General features: G+C 42.8%; 2 protein-coding genes across 5 annotated transcripts in view, besides 1 other annotated feature; one reads left to right on the top strand and one right to left on the bottom strand.

Moving 5' to 3' along the window:
* The window catches only part of PMPCB (peptidase, mitochondrial processing subunit beta), a 50108-nt gene that overhangs the window by 1755 nt on the left and 32802 nt on the right, over positions 1 to 15551 (bottom strand). The gene's annotated exons all lie outside the window — the stretch shown is intronic.
* Positions 839 to 1078: an enhancer, noted in NCBI's record as "active region_26442". NCBI's record gives its function as "activates an Ori minimal core promoter by ATAC-STARR-seq in GM12878 lymphoblastoid cells {active_cell/tissue: GM12878}" and the evidence as "EXISTENCE:reporter gene assay evidence [ECO:0000049][PMID:35858748]".
* Positions 1021 to 15551, top strand: part of DNAJC2 (DnaJ heat shock protein family (Hsp40) member C2) — a 32479-nt gene continuing 17948 nt past the window's right edge. For 3 of the 4 annotated variants that reach the window (NM_001129887.3, NM_014377.3, NM_001362668.2), the window contains exons 1-3: positions 1021 to 1229; positions 3834 to 4024; positions 7977 to 8052. In NM_001129887.3, coding sequence (NP_001123359.1) covers positions 1166 to 1229; positions 3834 to 4024; positions 7977 to 8052 — 331 coding nt within the window. In that variant the 5' untranslated portion in view covers positions 1021 to 1165. The remainder of the gene's footprint in view (positions 1230 to 3833; positions 4025 to 7976; positions 8053 to 15551) is intronic. The other variant, NM_001362667.2, reaches the window with a different exon arrangement.

Here is a 15551-nt window from a genome sequence, read left to right as displayed (position 1 = left end):
CAGATATACAGACCAATTAAATGTATTTAATTGGCCTGGCACAGTGACTCACGCCTCTAATCCCAGAGTTTTGGGAGACTGAGGCAGGAGGATCCCTTGAGGCCAGGAGTTCAAGACCACCTTGGGCAACATAGTGAGACCCTGTCTCTACAAAAAAAAATATACATATATATATATATAATATATTTAAAAACTTTAATTGTGAAAATATAATGAAATTAGTAAGTTATTTTCTAATTTACTAATTTCTGGTGGTCCTTGCTAAAGAGTGGCATATCAAGTTTATTTTATTGAACCTGTTTCAGATACTGCTGTTGGGGGTGAGCCTTTACCCACTGTTTGTTTTTGCTAGTTTTTGCTTTTGACTGCAGTCTTAGAAGGAAGCATATAGTAGGAATACAATTGATTTTATTATACATTAAAAAATTAAGTCCCAGAGTCCTATAATTGGGAATATCTTGAATAAAAACTTCATTAGAACAAGGTAAAAATATTGCTGGCCTTGGAATACAATCTAACACACTAGAGAGAGGTTTCTTCTCCAAGCGAGTATTAAAAGATATAATGCAGGTAAATTAGTAATAGCACGACAAATATTAGCTGCTATTATCATCATCAAGTTAAACACAAATGTATCACAAATACACGTACGTAATTCTCCGCAAATGTATATACTAGTCGTCGATACTGGTTCATACAGGTATTTTCATTTTTTACTTAAAAGTATAGCGCTCCTGGGAAAATCACTGATTAGGTTCAGATTAATACATAAAGCAGTAAGAACTTAAAGATAATATAAAAAGAACTGCTTTTAAAGGTTATGTTCTATGTATTGCACTGGGACGTGGAATATAATCCTTTTTACAGGAAAACTGATGCGCCTAGGAACCATTCTCTCGTGCGACTTGGTCTCCAGCCGGATCTCAGTCAGTATAGAACTAGGTTACCGCACACGTTGGCGGGGGTGGGAGGGTGTGAGACTGGCCTCCACACCACGAAAGATCCATCCCGGAAGTGCTTACTGGTCGTCTCCATGCGCCGGTTCCTGGGCGTCTTAGAGCCAAGGCGCGAGGCTCGGAGTGAGAGGTAGAGCTGGAGGGGACCCTAAGCGCCCTCCGCCCGGGACGTGAGCCGCTGCGCCCACCGGGCTAGACCCGGCGCCATCATGCTGCTTCTGCCAAGCGCCGCGGACGGCCGGGGCACCGCCATCACCCACGCTCTGACCTCTGGTAAGTGCCCACCCAACCTCGGTTCCTTCTCACCTCAGCTGCCCCTGCCTCAGTCCTCCGCCTCGGCAACCCTGGGCTCTCTCTACCCTTGACCCTGGCGACTAGCCCCGGGGCCGTATGGGGCCGTGACGAGTGCCTTTTTGCTCCGTGTTTTAAAGTAATCCTACCCTAGATTAGAAGGAAGGAGGGTGAGGGGTGCCTTCCTTTTGCTCCTACCGTTGCTTCCTCCTCTCGCCGCTGCTGACTCATGGATTGGGCTGAGCATTTCGGGACGGAACCCCCCAGCACCCCAGAAAGGTTCTCATAAGCATCTCCTTGCCTACGGTGGAAAGACTACGCGCAGCGAGCACCCCACGTGCCTGGGGTCGTACAAAGCTTTGCTACTGGCGCTCTCTTAAACAACTTTCTCCCTCTCTACGTTTGCTCCGGCCTTGTTTTTTAAATGTCACAACTCAGACACCGCTCCTCATACTCGGTGTTCAAAGACTGTGCTGCTGAAAAGATCCGCGTAGACTTTGAAAGGCAGTTATTACAAGTGAAACTTGTCCTGCTGCTGTAGGTTTTAGTTTTATGGCCCAGGACAGTCATGAGTATTGTAAACTTAAGAGTCTTCAGGTCCAGTGATCTACAGTAATTCCCATAGCCAGTCACATAGGCGCTTGTTGAATGTGATTTTGAACATAACCCATGGCACGTGTTGCATTTATGTGTCTCCGTGTGCCTCTTACAACTAGAGCAAAAGGCTTAAAAGGCAGTGTTCTTAAAAGCCACACACCCATACTACACAGGTAGTACCTTTTTGACAGTGTTTTAATCCTCTCCTGTGTAAGGTGGAGGAAATCTTAAAATAAGTTGTTCAGGGATTTTCCTTTTTTGAATTGCTAGTATACACATGTACAGTGATTTACCCCCACTTCCCAGGAATAGATGATACCTTTACTACAAGTTTGTAATTTCAGAGAGTTTCTGTGGTCTCATTCAAGCTTCCTAGGAACTGAATGAGATAAATAGGTATTGTTCCCATTTTACAGGTGAAGACATCCTGATTCATTTCAGGTCACATAGCCACTGTCAGACCTAGTCTAAAACCCAGAGTGTCTGGTTTCAGATTGAGAGCTTGTTCCACTACAGCTTAGCTGCATTAGTAAATTCCCATTTGCTGCTTGGAAAATTGCTTTCAGGACAAATTCTTGTTAGTGAATTCTTAAAATTTTTAAGAGCTATATTCAAGATTTTAATAATTAAGACAGTTTGAGTTGTCTGGGTGCGGTGGCTCACGTCTATAATCCCAGCACTTTGGGAGGCCGAGGCAGGTGGATCACCTGAGGTCAGCAGTTCGAGACCAGCCTGGCTAACAGGGTGAAACCCTGTCTCTACTAAAAATACAAAAAAGTAGCTGGGCGTGGTGGCGGGCGCCTATAATCCCAGCAACTTGGGAGGCTGAGGCAGAAGAATCGTTTGAACCCGGGAGGCGGAGGTTGCAGTGAGCCGAGATTGCGCTATTGCACTACAGCCTGGACAACAAGAGCAAAACTCCGTCTCAAAAAATAAAAAGATAGTTTGAGTTGTTTTTAGATTTTTTATTTTTGGTGAGGCTAGCTCTTCGTGACAATTTATCACTATTTATTACTTTATTAAAATTATTTGTCTAGGCCGGGCGCGGTGGCTCACGCCTGTAATCCCAGCATTTTGGCAGGCCGAGGTGGGTGGATCACGAGGTCAGGAGATCAAGACCATCCTGGCTAATATGGTGAAACCCCGTCTTTACTAAAAATGCAAAAAATTAGCCGGGGGTGGTGGCGGGTGCCTGTAGTCCCAGCTACTCGGGAGGCTGAGGCAGGAGAATCGCTTGAACCCGGGAGGCGGAGCTTTCAGTGAGCCAAGATCGCGCCATTGCACTCCAGCCTGGGTGACAGAGCAAGACTCCGTCCCAAAAAAAAAAAAAAAATTGTCCAGGTGGGTGCAGTGGCTCACGCCTGTAATGCCAACACTTTGGGAGGCCGAGGCAGGCAGATCACCTGAGGTCGGGAGTTCGAGACCAGGCTGACCAACATGGAGAAACCCCATCTCTACTAAAAATACAAAATTAGCTGGGCATGGTGGCGCATGCCTGTAATCCCAGCTGCTTGGAAGGCTGAGGCACAAGAATCACTTGAACCCGGGAGGTGGAGACGGCATTGAGCCGAGATCTCGCCATTGCATTCCAGCCTGGGCAGTAAGAGCAAAACTTCATCTCAAAAAAAAAAAAAAGTAAAAAAATAAATAATTTGTCTAAAAGTAAAGTAGTTTGCAACATTTCTTCCTGTTCCTCACCTTACTCATATCCCCAAAAAAGTACTGATTTATCATTGACATTACTGAGTTTTTTTTGTTTTGTCAGATAACTGGAAGAGGTTGATTAAATACTCTTTAATACTAGGAAAGGATAATTTCTTGCTAACCCTCATGTAAACTGGATGACTGCAATTATTTTCGTAGTCGGTGGTTTTAAAAGTATATGCTGGTATCACTGTTTTGATTTTATTTCCTGAAAAAATTAATTGCCTTGAAACATATTTATTCCATGCGATACACTGAAGCCTCTCTTAACACTTTCAATCACAGCCTCTACACTCTGTCAAGTTGAACCTGTGGGAAGATGGTTTGAAGCTTTTGTTAAGAGGAGAAACAGAAATGCTTCTGCCTCTTTTCAGGAACTGGAGGATAAGAAAGAGTTATCCGAGGAATCAGAAGATGAAGAATTGCAGTTGGAAGAGTTTCCCATGCTGAAAACACTTGATCCCAAAGACTGGAAGGTATTTAATATCTGAATATTTTGTTCAGTCAGATGCTTTGTTAGACATAGACAATTTTCTTATGAGTTTTCCATTAATAAACATGTTTTAAGATGATTCAGCAAGATAACTATGATTTAGCATCTGTTTATTACTAAGTCTTGAGAGCATTAGCACTAGCCATGAGATACTGTCTCTGCTGGAGAAATCCAGGAAGAGTTCACAGAAAAGATAATGTTTGCACCGGTCTTAAAAGGACAGGCAGCAATTAGTGAAGCAGAGAAGTGAGAAAAGTATTCTGGGCAGAAGGAGTAAGATATACAAAGACACAAAGGAGTAAAAGAATATGTAGTGCCTCTTGAGGAATTGATAAGTCGTATAGGGTACATGCGGTATGGTGATGAGAAATCTAGTGTCTTTAAAAGGACACTAGACCAAACTCTGTTGTGTCCTTTTTATACCATGCTAAAGAAGGAATTAAAATTTATTTTTGGGACAGTAAGATACCATCAAAAGTTTCTTAGCTAATTTTAGAAAAGTAATTCCCTTGGCAGTACAGGAAATTGCTTGAAAGGGGGCAAGGGACTGGAGGGGAAGTGAATAGTTTACTGTTATAGGGCTAGTGCACTAAGGCAGACCTGTGACTGAATCCTTGAACTTACTATGTGGCTGGGTTTTGAGGAAGAGGGGTCAGATTTGCCTTTTTTGGAGGTAGCATTAACAGGCTTTGGTGACCCTGGCTGTGTGGCACAAGACAAAGAGAAGTATTCAGAGGTCCTTCCCAGCATTAGCGCTTGAGTGACCTGCTAGAGTGTGTGGTCAGTAACCAATGCTGGGATGAGGATAAGAATGTTTGTGGGAGGTGCTGTTTGTGTCCAAGTTTGACTATGTGAAGACTGAGGTTTTGGTACCATAGTGGTGAAGCTGTCTAGTAGATGGTTAGAAATTGGTCTATGACTCCAAAAAGAGGTTACAGCCAAAGACTTTTTGAAGTCATTGGCACATAGTGGTGGTTGCTGTGAGGAATTGAATGACAACAGCAAGGGACAAAAGTATAAACAAATAGATAATGCTTTAGTAGGTACTTGTATAATAGTTAAATGCGTATGCTGTGGAATTGGAGTGCCTGAATTCAAATCTGGTTCTGCCATTTGGTGCACTTCGACCTTGGGAAAGTTCCCAGATATGTGTGTACCTCATTTCCCTTGTTGCTACAGTGAGATTGTTAACAGCTCAAAGGTTTACCTTGAGGATTAATAAAAGGATGCTTATAAAGCACTTAAGTTAGTACTTGCTGCATGATAAATGCCAAACAAATAATGGATAATAAGAGTTCCTATGTCATTGGTTGTTTAGAGGACTAAATAAGCTAAAGCATATGTATAAAACATTTAGAAAAGTAAGCACTCAGAAAGTGTTAGCTGATTCTCCCACCACCTCATCCATTTTAAAAGAAAAAGACAACATTGGGGAGCATGGATATTTAAGGGGTAGGAAGAGGAGGAAAAACAGCAGAAGATACTAAGAAGGGTGACAGAAGTAGAAAGAAAACAAAGAAAAAGACACTTTGTTATTTGAAGAAATACTTCCTAAACATCAGGCAGCGTATTCTTCCAGAAACTAAGGGAGGAGCAAGAGGGAAAAAGAGGCAGGGTGCAGTGGCTCATGCCTGTAATCCCAGCACTTTGGGAGGCTGAGGCGGGCAGATCACCCGAGGTCAGGAGTTCGAGACCAGCCTGACCAACATGGTGAAACCCCATCTCTACTAAAAATACAAAATTAGCCAGGCGTGGTGGCACATGCCTGTAATCGCAGCTACTTGGGAGGCTGAGGCAGGAGAATCACTTCAACTCAGGAGGTGGAGGTTGCTGTGAGCCGAGATCATACAATTGCACTCCAGCCTGGGCAACAAGAGCAAAACTCTATCTCAAAAAAAGGGGCGTGGGAAGAGTCACCTGTGTCACTGCTTCAGAAAGAGGTCAATCACATAACATGAAAAATTATTTTAAAAAACACTGGACCGGGCATGGTGGCACATGCTTATAATCCCAGCTACTCAGGAGGCTGAAACAGGAGAATCGCTTGAACCTGGGAGGTGGAGATTGCGGTAAGCTGAGATCGTGCCACTGCACTCCAGCCTGGGCAACAAGAGTGAAACTCCATCTCAAAAAAAAAAAAAACCATTGGATTTGGCAAACTAAAAGTTTCGGTGTCCTCATTGAAAGCAGTTTGAGTAAAATGATCGGGAAGGCAAGAGATTACAGTGAATGAAGAGTGATTAGGAAGTGATGAAGTAGGATCAAAGTGTAAAGTACTCTTTCAAAGCTGGGTAGTAAAGAAAATGAGAGAAGATAGTAACTTCAGGAGAAGGCAGAGTCGGGAAAAGACAGAACTGGGGAGTGTTGAGATCTATAAGAGGGAGAAGGTCTTTGGTATAGAAAGAAGTAGATTGTATCAGAGTAAGGTAGCAGAGTTCATTCACTTGTTCAGTTTATTTTCATTCATCAAATATGGATCAAACACCATGTCAGATACTGTTCTAGGTGTCAAGGATACTGTACTGAACAAGACAGTATTACTGCTTACACACAGCTTATATTCCAGTGACATAATAAGTAAACAAGAACATGTAGCCATAAGTTCCATAGGATGGCCATAAGCTATCAACAGGTGCTAAGAGAAAAAAGGGGTCTTTGGTCAAGTAAGTTTGGAAAATGCTAGGTTTTACAGGTTTCTGTTTGTTTATTTTTTAAATCTAATTACAGGACTTCTCAGAGCCTTTCTTAGGCCTTTGTGCATACAAATCATCAAGGAGGCTGTATAATAGTCCACATTTACCTCTTTTTTAAATTTATTTTTTATTTTATTTTATTTTGAGACGGAGTCTCACTCTGTTGCCCAGGCTGGAGTGCAGTGGCGCAGTCTTGGCCCACTGCAACCTCCGCCTCCCAGGTTCAAGCAATTATCTTGCCTCAGCCTCCCGAGTAGCTGGGATTACAGGTGGGCGCCACCACGCCCGGCTAATTTTTGTATTTTTAGTAGAGACAGGGTTTCACCATGTTAGCCAGGCTGGTCTCAAACTCCTGACCTCATGATCCACCCACCTCAGCCTCCCAAAGCACTGGGATTACAGGCGTAAGCTGGCATGCCCAGCCTGTCTCTTCTTTTTTTTAAAGACAGGGTCTTGGCCGGGTGCAGTGGCTCACACCTGTAATCCCTTGGCCCTTTGGGAGGCCAAGGCAGGTATATCACCTGAGGTCAGGAGTTCGAGACCAGCCTGACCAACAAGGTGAAACCCTGTCTCTACTAAAAATACACAAATTAGCCAGGCGTGGTGGTGTGCACCTGTAATCCCAGCAACTTGGAAGGCTGAGGCAGGAGAATTGCTTGAACCCGGGAGGCGGAGGTTGCAGTGAGCCAAGATGGCACCACTGCACTCCAGCCTGGGCAACAGAGCAAGACTCCGTCTCAAAAAAATAAAATAAAATCTTAAAATCATTAAAAAAAAAAAAAAAAAGACAGGGTCTTGCTCTGTCGCCTATCCTGGAGTGCAGTGGCATGATCACAGCTCACTGCAGCCTCTACTTACTAGACTCAAGTAATCCTGCTACTTCTGCCTCCTGAGTAGCTGGAACTACAGGTGCACACCACCACACCCAGCTAATTTTTAAAAATTTTTTTGTAGAGACAGAGATCTTACTTTGTTGCCCAGGCTGGCCTCATATTCCTGGGCTCAAGCAATCCTCCACCTGGGCCTCCCAAAGTGCTAGGATTACAGGCATGAACCATGGCACCCAGCCTAATCCACATTTCTCAACCTTACCTGACCATAGACCCTGGTTTATACAGAACCTCTTACTGGACTCCTGATGAAATGTCACTTTGGGAAATGCTTATTAAGGTACCAGAACACAAGGGATGGAATATATTGGCTTCATTTCAAATTTGACTCCCTTTTGTGTTTTTTTTCCAGAACCAAGATCATTATGCAGTTCTTGGACTTGGCCATGTGAGATACAAGGCTACACAGAGACAGATCAAAGCAGCTCGTAAGTACTTAGTTATTTTGAAATAATCAAATATCTTGTATAGGAACAGGCTGGCTATGCTTTTTAAAAGATATACAGTATCATAGTCTGCAGCCATAACTACATTTAACAGCATGTGTTATATTGTCATAACAAGCAAAAAACCACGGTCTCCCCTGCCTTCAGAATCAGAAGAAAGCAATCCATTTTACATATAGACTTTCCCATTAGGGATAAGAAATTAGGATGGGTGTGTGTGTGTGGATACAAAATACTCCTCCAATGGCAAGCTTTTAAAAAATAATACTTCACCTCTCTTTAGAAGTATAGCAGCTGCACTTAGTGGATACTGCCTTTTTATTGTTTTTTGGTTTTTGGTTTTTTTTTTACGTTATTTTGTAATCTTAGGTCACACCTTTGTAGATATCACCCTGTCTTCTGTCCAAGAAAAGTTGTCTGATGTTTTATTGTTGTTTTCATTGACAAGGTTATAATTTGGCATGGGAGAGGGTAATGTTGGGACCCCAGTCTTCATATGCCTTATAAAACACCATCCCTTAATGCTCCTAAATGTCCTATGCTTTGCAATCCTGTGGACATAATTTCTTATACACGTGATCAGTTCAACTGATTAATAAAGTTTAGTGAAAGAGGTAAGAGGTGAAGGTGATCAGTTTTCTATCTTAGGAGAATGTTCTGCCCTCCACTCTAGAGAATGGATATTGAGGTCAGAGAGGGTAAGATTGTGGCCACATGGAAAAGGAGCAGGGAGTCAGGGCCTGTCAAGAAGAGGAAGTATTATATGTGGAGGAAGATGACTGAATAAGAATGCCTGTGGTAAAAATTATTAGTCAATACTTAGCATAGTAGATGAACTCAAAATCGTCCCCATTACTGCTTACATTTAGGAAAATCACAGGAAATATTTTTTAACAAAGTGAAGGAATTTATCAGATTATTTTAAACTGGATTTGTTTAAAGGCTGGCATGAGTCTAGACAAAGCATATGGTAATGCATGTGAATAGTTATTCCAGTATAAATAAATGCCAGAAAAGTCCATTTGCCACGTACAAGTGTTTGCAAAGTTTTACTATACGAAAGAATAGCATTGGCCGGGCGTGGTGGCTCACGCCTATAATCCCAACACTTTGGGAGGCCGAGACGGGTTGATCACCTGAGGTGAGGAATATGAGACCAGCCTGGCCAACGTGGAGAAACACCGTCTCTACTAAAAATACAAAAAAATTAGCTGGGTGTGGTGGTGGGCACCTGTATTCCCAGCTACTTGGGAGGCTGAGGCAGGAGAATTGCTTGAACCCAGGAGGCAGAGGTTGCAGTGAGCCGAGGTCGCACCATTGCGCTCCAGCCTGGGCAACAAGAGCGACACTCTGTTTCCGAAAAAATAGAATAGCATACAAATACCAAATATGTCTTAGTACAGATAAATTTGTTAATTAGAATTGATAATAGAACTGTGAGAATAGTTTGTGTTTTAAGGTGAAAGAATTCTTTCTCAGAAGATTAAAAATGTGCAATAAATTGTAAAAGAAGCATTCATATGCTTCTGTTAAATCCACTGTCTTTTTTTGAGACAGAATTTCGTACTTGTTGCGCAGGCTGGAGTGCAATGGCACCATCTTGGCTCACCACAACCTCCGCCTCCCAGGTTCAAGCGATTCTCCTGCCTCAGCCTCTTGAGTAGCTGGGATTAGAGGCATGTGCCACCACGCCCGGCTAATTTTGTATTTTTCATAGAGACGGGATTTCACCATGTTGGTCAGGCTGGTCTCGAACTCCCGACCTCAGGTGATCCACCCACATCGGCCTCCCAGAATGCTGGGATTACAGGCGTGAGCCACCGCACCCAGCCTAAATCCACTCTTTTTATTGGCCTTGTAGAAATTGATTTTTAGCCAGGCACAGTGGGTCACACCTGTAATCCCAACACTTTGGAAGACCAAGGCAGGCAGATTACTTGAGGCTGGAGTTCAATACTAGCCCGGCCAATGTGGTGAAACCCCATCTCTACTAAAAATACAAAAATTAGCCAGGTGCGGTGGCGCATGCCTGTAAGCCCAACTACTTGGGAGGCTGAGGCATGAGAATCGCTTGAACCTGGGAGGCGGAAGTTGCAGTGAGCGAAGATTGTACCACTGCAGTCCAACCTGAGCAACAGAGTGAGAGAGTGAGACTCTGTCTCATTAAAAAAAAAAAAAAGAAAGAAAGAAAGAAAAGAAATTCAGCTTTTGAATATGTATTCTCTAGCCAAAAATTTTGCAGCACCAGTGTAGAGATTGTTAACAATAAGGGTAATTCTAACTTACTCTCTACCACCCTTGTGGAATATTCCGTCAGTCTTTATTTAGAAAGAAACTGTCATTCTCTCACCTCTGTCACTGTAAAACACAGTTGCTACTCATTGCTTTCTGAAAATCTATCTAAAAGTTAAAATGCAAAGTTACTGTTTGCAAATCTATAATTATTAGCACAAACCTAATAAAAATGTAAATCTGGTACCATTTGATGTCCTTTGAATGCTTGCTTCATATTACAAGCAAAGTTTTATTTTTGTTGAGTATATTTTGAATGTCAGTAATGAAAATTAATTAAGTGTGAAGTAGGAGCCGGGTGCGGTGGCTCACACTTGTAATCCTAGCACTTTGGGAGGCTGGGGCAGGTGGATCACCTGAGGTCAGGAGTTCGAGACCAGCCTGGCCAACATGGCGAAACCCCGTCTCTACTAAAAATATAAAAATTAGGCGGGCATGGAGACGCATGCCTGTAATCCCAGCTACTTGGGCGGCTGCGGCACGAGAACCGCTTGAAACTGGGAGGCAGAGGTTGCAGCCAGCCGAGATTGCACCATTGCACTCCAGCCTGGGTGACAGAGGGAAACTGCCTCAAAAAATGCCCAAAAAAATACCAAAAATATTTGTCACTGTTTCTGAACCCTTGCAGTATATGTTGAAATAAATAATTTTATTATGCTCATGAAAAGATTTCTATAGGCCAAGCATGGTGGCTCATCCCTGTTAATCCTAGCACTGTGGGAGACTAAGGCTGGAGGATCACTTGAGCTCAGGAGTTCAAGACCAACCTGGACAACATAGCAAGACCTTGTCTCTCTTTTTTTTTTTTAATTAAAAAAATTTTTTTTCAAGATTTCTTTTCTTTTTTTTTTTAAGACGGAGTCTAACTGTTATCCAGGGTGGAGTGCAGTCGCGTGATCTTGGCTCACTGCAACCTCCATCTCCAGGGTTCAAGTGGTTCTCCTGCCTCATTCTTCTGCCTCAGCCTCCTAAGTAGCTGGGATTACAGGCACCTGCCAACATGTCTGACTAATTTTCGTATTTTTTAGTAGAGACTGGGTTTCACCACGTTGACCAGGCTGGTCTCGAACTCCTGAGTTCAAGTGATCCACCTGCCTCAGTCTCCCAAAGTGCTGGGATTACAGGCATGAGCCACCGTGCCCAGCCAAAAGATTTCTGCAAAAACGTTCACAACAGGCCGGGCACAGTGGCTCACACCTGTAATCCCAGCACTTTGGGAGGCCAAGGCAGGCGGATCACGAGGTCAGGAGATCGAGACCATCCTGGCTAACACGGTGAAACCCCATCTCTACTAAAAATACAAAAATATCAGCTGGGCGTGGTGGCGGGTACCTGTAGTCGCAGCTACTCGCGTGGCTGAGGCAGCAGAATGGCGTGAACCCGGGAGGTGGAGCTTGCAGTGAGCTGAGATCACGCCACTGCACTCCAGCCTGGGCAACAGAGCGAGACTCCGTCTCAAAAAAAAAAAAAAAAATGTTCACAACAGCCTATTCACAATGTCCAGAAACTGGAAATCACCCAAATATTTAATAACATGGAAATAGATAAGCAAACTGCTATATATTTTGGTGCAGTGGAATACTAATCAGCAATTTTTAAAAGAACAAATTGCCAATACACAGAAAAACATGGATGAATCTCAAACCATGAGTAAAAGAAGCCAGACATAGGCATACTGTAAGTTACATCTACTTGAAGCTCAAGAACATGCAAAAGTGGTGACAGGCATCAGAAAACGGTTGCCTCAGCTGGTAGAGGATGGGAGCCCAGTGGAAAAGGGTACAAGGGAACTTTTTGGATGATGGAAACGGCCTATATTTTCCTTTGGATAGTAGTTACATAAGTGTATATGATTGTCAGAACTCACTGAACTTAATGAATGCTTAAAATCTGGGCATTTATTTTATCTACGTTTTATCTCCGCTGAATCAGACAGATATGATTAAACAAACCAAAAATACCAGTCACTTGGAAATTAAATATATTCTTTTGAGCCTAGACAGAAATAAAAATTATGCTAATAGACTTTTTTTCCACAAAAGTAAGATTACTGCTTTATCAAAACTTAAGGACTGGCAGCTAAATCTGTACCTTAAGTAAATTCATTGCCTTAACCTATTCTGTTACTTTTTTCAAAAGAGGGAAAAGATAAGGTGGAAATTCAATTCAGAGGTTTAAAAGAATAGCACAAAGGAAGATGTAGGAAGAAAATAAATAAGACAGTATCCCAAACTGGGTTTTATAAGAAGAATAAACAAATACAAGTTGAGCATCCCTAATCCAAAACTCCAAAGTCCAAAATGCTCCAAATTCTGAGTGCCAGCATGACACTTCAAAGGAAATGTTCACTGGAGGATTTTGGCTTTTCAGATTTGGAATGGATGCTCACCCAGTAAGTATAATGCAGATATTCCAAAATCTAAAAAAATTTGAAATCCCGAACACTTTTGGTCCCAAGCATTTCAGATACAGGATACTCAAAACGTAGTGAAATACAGAAAGAGCTAATCATGGTGGCTCATGCCTTTGATCCCAGCACTTTAGAAGGCTGAGGTGGGTGGATTGTTTGAGCTCTGTAGTTCAAGACTAGCCTGGGCAACATGGCAGAACCCCATTTCTACAAAAAATACAAAAATTAGCTGGGCATAGTGGTGCGTGCCTGTGGTCCCAGCTGCTCAGAAGGCTGAGATAGTGCTTGAGCCCAGGAGGTCAAGGCTGCAGTGAGCCGTGATCACACCACTGCACTCCACCCTGAGCAATAGTAAGACCCTGTCCCCATCCCCTCCCCCGCAAAAAAAAAAGGATGAAAAACATTAAAGTTACCAAAGAATTTACTCCTAAAAACAATTTTTAGGCCCAGATAATTTTTCAGGTGAATTGTTTCAAGTGTTAAAGAATTAAAAATTCTAATGCTGAATATAAACTTGGTGTTTTATTTTGTAATTGGAGAATCGGTTAATCATAAACTGTTTTGGAATAATTCATTTTGTTAAGTTGTAAAGTTTAATGTAATCTGAGTATGCAAAACCTAGCAAAGAGAGCCCAAAAAATCCTACAAACAATTCCTATTAATATAATGAAAAAGAAAAACCAGTTAAAATGTTAAAAATAATAGCAAATTCGCTGGGTGCAGTGGCTCACGCCTATAATCCGAGCACTTTGGGAGGCCAAGGCGGGCGGATCATGAGGTCAGGAGATCGAGACCATCCTGGCTAACACGGTGAAACCCCGTCTCTACTAAAAATACAAAAAAATTAGGCAGGCGTGGTGGCGGGTGCCTGTAGTCCCAGCTACTCGGGAGGCTGAGGCAGGAGAATGGCATGAACCCGAGAGGCAGAGCATGCAGTGAGCCAAGACTGCACCACTGCACTCCAACCTGGGTGACAGAGCAAGACTCCGCCTCAAAAAAAAAAAAAAATAGCAAATTTAAGAAAAGGGAATTTTTATACACTGTTGGTAGGAATCTAAATTAGCATAGCCACTGTGCAAATTAGTATGGAGATTTCTCAAAAAATTAAAAATAGAATTAACATATAGCCCAGCGTTCCCACTACTGGATATTTATCCAAAGGAAAAGAAAACAGTATGTCAAAGGGGTACCTGCACTCCCATGTTTTTATTGTGGCTCTGTTTATAATAACAAAGATAAGGAATCAACCTAAGTGTCCATCAGCAGACTAGTTGATAAAGAAAAGTATATGTATACAATGGGATACCACTCAGCCATAAAAAAGAATGAAACGTCTGCAGAAATATAGATGGAACTGGAGGTCATTATGTTGAGTGAAATAAGCTAGGCACAGAAAGGCAAATATTGCATGTTCTCACTCTTGAGAACAGTGGGAGCTTAAAAAGTTGATCTCGTGGAGGTAGTAGATAGAATGATAGATACCAGAGGCTGAGAAGGGTATTGGGAGGAGAGGGATAAAGAGAGGTTGGTCAATGGATACAAACATACAATTAGAAGGAATAAGTCCCAGTGTTCTGTAGCAGAGTAGGGTGATGATAGTTAACAATGATGTATTGTATATTTCAAAATAGCTAGAAGACAGAACTTGAAATGTTCACAATACATAGAAATAATAAACACTCAAGTTGATAGATACCCAAATACCCTGACTTGATCATTACGTGGTTTATGCATGTATCATGAATTATGCACAAAATGAGCCAGGCACAGTGGCTCACGCCTGTAATCCCAGCGCTTTGGGAGGCCGAGGCAGGCGGATCACTTGAGGTCAGGAGTTCAAGACCAAGCCTGGCCAACATGGCAAAACCCTGTCTCTACTAAAAATACAAAAATTAGCTGAGCGTGGTGGCAGGTGCCTGTAATCCCAGATACTCCAGAGGCTGACAGGAGAATCGCTGGAACCCAGGAGGTGGAGGTTGCAGTGAGCCAAGATTGTGCCATTGCATGCCAGCCTGGCCAACAGAGTGAGACTCCATCTCAAAAAAAAAAAATGGATTTTGTTCATGTATTATGAACAAAATAATCACATGCACCCCATAAGTGTGTACAGATACTTGTATCATGAAAAAATAGTGGTCAGGCGTGGTGGCGCAGGCCTGTAATTCTAGCACTTTGGGAGGCCAGGGTGGGAGGATCGCTTGAGCCCAGGAGTTCAAGACCAGCCTGGCCAACATGACGAAACCCCTCCCCTACAAAAAAAAAAAAGAGCTGGGTGTGATAGCTCACACCTGTAATCCCAGCACTTTGGGAGGCTGAGGTGGGCAGATCACGAGGTCAGGAGTTCGAGACCAGCCTGGCCAACATGGTGAAACCCTGTCTCTACTAAAAATATAAAAATTAGCCGGGCGTAGTGGCACATGGCTGTAATCCCAGCTACTCAGGAGGCTGAGGCAGGAAATCTCTTGAACCCAGGAGGCGGAGGTTTCAGTGAGCTGAGACTGTGCCACTGCACTCCAGCCTGGGCAACAAGAGCAAAACTCCATCTCAATAAATAAATAAAGTTAGCAAGGCATGGTGGAGAGCACCTGTAATCCCAGCCACTTGGGAGGCTGAGGTGGGAGGATCACCTGAGCCGGGGAGGTTAAGACTACAGTGAGCTGAGATTGGGTGCCACTGTGCTCCAGCCTGAGCAACAGAGTGAGACCCTGTCTCAAAAAAAAAAATAAAATAACAAATGCAATTTAATAGTACACTAAAAGAATAATAGTGTTCATGAACA

Source organism: Homo sapiens, chromosome 7 (assembly GCF_000001405.40).
Source record: "Homo sapiens chromosome 7, GRCh38.p14 Primary Assembly".
Lineage (NCBI taxonomy): Eukaryota > Metazoa > Chordata > Mammalia > Primates > Hominidae > Homo > Homo sapiens.
Note: the sequence above shows the minus strand (reverse complement) of the source record. Positions and strands in the feature narration are given on the sequence as shown.